Source organism: Homo sapiens, chromosome 7 (assembly GCF_000001405.40).
Source record: "Homo sapiens chromosome 7, GRCh38.p14 Primary Assembly".
In the NCBI taxonomy this organism is placed as follows: domain Eukaryota; kingdom Metazoa; phylum Chordata; class Mammalia; order Primates; family Hominidae; genus Homo; species Homo sapiens.
The window spans coordinates 119,416,943-119,422,684 of NC_000007.14; positions in this window are offsets into that span (position 1 = coordinate 119,416,943).

Sequence of the window (5,742 nt, forward strand, 5' to 3'; positions counted from 1 at the left end):
AGATATGTTATTAACGTGTGTTTCAGGATTGTATGAGTTTCCTAAAATTCTGATATTTTGTAAGGTACATTGTCAACAATAACTATGATTATAATGTAAAATTGTTATATGCTACAGAAATAACCAAGTTTTCTTGTCAATTATGTCTTTAACTACATCTATCCCAAGACATTTTTCATCCACAATTGTTGTGTTGCTTTGATCCTTCTCAAAAAGTAACATAATCTTGGATACAGGTGTCTGATAACTTTGGAGGTTGTACCACTGGATTAAAGATAAAACTTCCAGGGCACTTATTGAAAGTCTGATTTGTTCATAAAGATTACCAACCCAATATGAAGAAAGCAGGAGTTTATTGCATGAACTAAAATAATGGAGGAATAAAATATATTTTTATGGCTTTTTTGTTTAAAACATTACTGATTCTTCAGAATCTGGAGAATTGTTTTTCCTTTGGAGCTATTTATAGCCTTTAAAAATTGAGTAGGGTATATCCTTGTAAACAATTTGAGGCATATTTCTCTCTCACTGCCTAATTTATCCAGAATTCTTAAACTATTTGTGAATATTTTTAATTCATGGCAATGTGGTTGTTTACGTAAGTTCAACAAGAATTTTTCTTTTAAAAAGGGACAGATTTGGAAGAATTGGTTATTTTATTAGGACTTTGACTGAAATGGCCTTGTGAGAGATTTCAGCAAACCTAATTTTGGAGAGCCTATGTGAACAATGAGTCTTTCTATATTTTGTGTGGGTAAACAGGCCAAGTATATGGGACTGAAGCTTATTTTTAGGTAGGTTGGTCCTGCTGTGATTTGTCTTTGATCGAAGAAGGAGACTGGAAAGATAAAAAAAGTGTTTCGGAAGAAAACTATAGTATTTGATTAGCCTTTGACCCCTGGGTAGTCATGTGGTCACTGATGGTATGGAGCTGCCCATGACGCCCCTCCTCAGCATGAAGCAGCCAGGAAGATTGATGAACAGATCCTTCATGATTGAGAACTGATAAATGAAAACGGGGTAGAGGGCTGAAACTGACCAAATTTTCTCGTATAACTGATGTGTCAGGTTTCTTTTGAATAAACATAGAAATTGAACCTTCCAATCTTGAAACCTTAGAAAGGTACATGTGTCTTATCTTAGTTTCTTTCTCAGGAAACCAACCATCAGGCCTCCCATATTACCACATCTGGACAACGGGCAATCAAGACCCCTCACCCATCATGATTGCCTAAGTGACCACCTCCTTTCTGTTGAGCAACTTATCTTCCTTACCCCTTCCTAATTCCTGTTTTGCTGAATGCAGTTGCAGTTCTTCCCTGCTATATAAACTCGTAATTTTAGTCAGTCAGGGAGATGGATTTGAGATTGATCCCCATTTCCTTGGGTACAGCACCCAATTAAAGCTTTTTCCCTGGAAATACTCACTGTCTCAGTGATTGGCCTTTTTCTGTTCAGTGAGCAGCAGAACCTAGACTGAACTCCTGTAGTTTCAGTAATATTAGTGATGATTTGGAGAAAATGGAGCCATCATATTGATTGTTATGCTATTACATAATAGCTATGTAAAACGCTGTAGCCATTTGAAAACTGCTGATTTTTAAACAATTTAATATTATATTATTATATAAAATATTAATATTATACAACCTAGTAATCTCTACTCCTAAGATACTACACAAGTAAATTGAAAACATATTTCTGTACTATAATGTGTATGCCTCCAGAATCAGAACAGGAACAGAGACTTATATTATGCAAGAAACCCAGGGCCAGACAATGCTTTTGAATTCTATCTCTGTTCCATCACTATTTGGCTTTTAGTATTGCCAGATTTATAAATTTGATTAATGTAAGAGCACTGGAGTCCAGAAGATCTTTCTAAATAACCACATTTATTGAGCACCAATTATTTCATTAAAATATTATTTTTTCAATTTGTGTAAGTTAGTTATTGAACACCTTCATACAAAAAATTTATATTAATATTTTAAGAATTTGGTATTAACCACTTCAGAAACTTGGATTTCTGATTAGTGTATTTTAAATACTAATTATTTTATAAATTAACAATAGTATAAACATATATCATACCCTTTGTATAAAGTATTTTGTAGTAAATTATTATACATAAGCATGTAATTGTATGCACTATGAAAGTATCCCATATTTATAAATTAATATTTAATTATATTTAATTTTATAATTCAGGGACCAAAGTAAAACATCCTATGTGTCTTCTTCATTTTTCTACCAGGAGAAGTTGTCTTAAATCCCTTGTTCTTGACTTTGATGAAATTATGGCCTTGAACACTCTTTAAAATGGTTTATAGAATGGATCAGAAATATAAGACTGTGAGTCTGGAGTTCAGGGATAGAATGATAAGCACTTCAAATTCAGCACCACTATCAAGAATCCATAGTCTTTCTCTCTTCCTCCCAGCCATTTCTCACAAATACCCCGAACCCTCCCACCACACACACACAGAGTATCTCATTACATGGTCAAAGGTTTACTAAAATGAGGTTTCTACTCAATTTTTACAAGTTTAATTGTTAGATTGTAGCTTACAAATCATATTAACTCCCTGATCCACAAGGAAATGTTTTAAATGCAAAAATAATTACTACTACCGTAGGTTGTAAACATAAGCTTGAAATAAGATAGTATTTAAAAGTCTAAGATACACAGTTTACAGTTATAAGTGAGTAATTTATATATTTATATGTGAGTATATATATGTGTATATATTTGTGTGTGTGTGTGTGTATATATATATATACATGACTAGACTTAGGTTTGCCTAACAACAATTTAAAATACAAGGCCATCACTTGATAAAATTAAAATATTATATTTTTGAAAAAATGCTGTCCCAGCACTTCCAATAATTTTGTCCAGCCTATTTTTAACTGAAAGTTGGAAATCATAATATTAGCTGTTCAAATCAGGAATTGCATTAAATGCTTGTTTGTTTTGCTATGAAAATATTTAAAATCATGAAAAATGTTTGAAACAAGTTCAATTGTGTTTATTCACTATTCTTCTGAGTCTGTAGGGCTCACAAGTGATTTTCAACAGTAGTTGTGGGGATATTTCAAGATCAGGTTTGTTCTTTCATGATTATGCCTTTGTACATAGCCCACTTCCTAAAGGAGAAGTTGATATTAGTAGGCCAGCTGACATGGAAATGCCATTAAAGTAACACAGTAAAAGATGATTTGTAGCTTACAAATCATATTACCTCCCTGATCCACAAGGAAATGTTTTAAATGCAAAAATAATTACTACTACAGTAGGTTGTAAACGTAAGCTTGAAATAAGATAGTATTTAAAAGTCTAAGATATACAGTTATAAGTGAGTAATTTATATATATTTATATGTGCGCGTATATATATATACACGCACATATAAATATATATATACACATACATATGTTTTGAGGGGAGATTGAAAGAAAACTCTGAGCTTAATTAAAATCTTCTCAGAAATAAACTATGAAGAAGGGAAAAGGTTTGAATAGGTATATGATATTGATTTGCAAATCATTATACAAAATTTATAACAGATTTTTAATGATATAACAATTAATATTTATATGAAAATATAAATTTCAGCTGAAAATAGATCTGTTAACTACCAATTTAAAAAAAACAACAGGTAATGAGAGGGAAGGTTCAAAATGGCCTGTTAGAAACTTTGGAAACCAGTTCTCCTCAAAAAAATGAACCAAAATTACAAAATAGATAATCGTAACTTGAAATAGATGATCAAGAACAGAATACTAAAACTCAGTAGAAAACTCATGGGCAAAAACAAAGGCACAGAAAAAGAAGTAAGTAAGAGGCAAAATCAGCTGACAAATTGGCTAGGAAACCAGAGGGACTTGTCATTGTGTGGAAAAGTTAAGTGGGAGTGTTTTGGCTCCCAACATCCCTGCCGCAGACTGCCAGTGTCCAAACTGTGAGAGATCCTCCTCTGCCATTTTGAATCCTGACTCTAGTGTGGGTTGTGATTTGGAAACTTCTTGAGGGCATTACAACAGATTGCAAACTCATAGTGGGTTGCTCACCCTCTCCCCAGATGCATGCAGCTGCAGCAGGGTACTATTGGAGGGTGCAGCCATCAGGGGACTACATTCCTCTTGGGAACATCAATCCTTTTGTTTCCACATATCAGGATCACCCACTGATATTTCCTACTCCCCACTCAGAGGATTGTGTTGGCACAGTGCTAGCTAGTTCCAAAGAAGCTGCAGCATTCCTAGTAACATAGCCCTCAGGGAGTGCTACCGCTATTGAAGGGAAACTACAGTAAACCAGCGGATAGACCCTGAAACAAAGGAAACCAAGGCACATGCTTTCAAGTACCAAAGAACTCCCTATTTCGTGCTGTGAGAGGTGACTCTGCATCCAACAGGACAAAAACTCTTTGCTTGGATATAAAGGAGAGGCATGACATCCCATCCCACCAACCTCTGTGCTAGAGCCCAGGCATGTAGAAAAGAACTTTTACACTTCCTCCACACACTGCTGCAAATACAGCCACTACTGCTGGTCACAAGAAATTGATACAAGTGATTCAGAGATCAACCTATCTGGAGCTGTGAATTATGACTGTAACCCCACTCTAGGGGTGTTGCCTCTGGGCCTGTACTTATGCAAAGGGTGGGGCTCTCCCCATTTCTGCACAGAGCTGCAATGTTTTTGCCAAAGAGATCTAGAGAGCAATGTTGTTTGGGGAAATGGGGACAGACTCCATGCTGAAGCCACTACCAGGTGACACAGAGGTTTGGTGCTGAGCTGCAGAGCTGGTGTTCCCTGTGACTCTGAGCTACATTGCATCCTAGAAGTAAACACTAATATCTAACTGAACTGAATGTCCTGAATGCTGACCCATTGCATGGGATACCGGAGGGCTTACCCTGGTAAATAAAGATCAAATATTAACCCTGGTGCTAAGACAACAATCAGCTCTTACATGCAAGTGCCACCTACTGACCTGGAGGTCAGCCTATACAATCTAATACAAAATTTGTTGACAAAAATGCACAGTGCTTGGGGACAAGATAAGCTTCTCATGACTTTTATCCCCTCAGCTTCTCAGAAGGCCATGAGTCTACTCACTTGCTCACTCCGCTACTACTACAATCAGCACTTGAGAAAAGCACCACACTAAGCCTATCTATAACCAAGGGAATTATACACACACTATGCCAGTGAACAAACTCAGAAGCAAATCCAAGTGGCCCTTCTCAACATATGTTATAGTCACATTCTCTAGACGCAAGGAAAAAAAGTCTCATTGAAATGAAATTAAATTCCAGATACAAAGAAACTACTATAGCAACACTGGAAGTAAGCAAAATCAGATTGATATGACAGCCCTCAAAAATGCCACTAACTTTTTAGCAATGGATTCTACAAATATGAAATTTGTAAAATGCCAAATAAAGAATTAAAAATATTATCAATAATTTTAAAGAAGCTCAATGAAATCCAAGAGAGATCTGGAAACCAATTCATAGACTTTAGAAAATCAAATCAGTGTATGAATAATAAATTTACCAAGGAAAGAGATATCTTATAGTAAAACCAACAGAACTTCTGGAAATAAAATATTCATTGAAGGAATTACAGAATACAGTTGAAAACTTCAAAAATAGATCAAGCAGAAGAGAGAATCTCAGAACTTGAAGGCAGGTCTTTTAAATTAATTCAGTCAAACAAACATAAAGTAA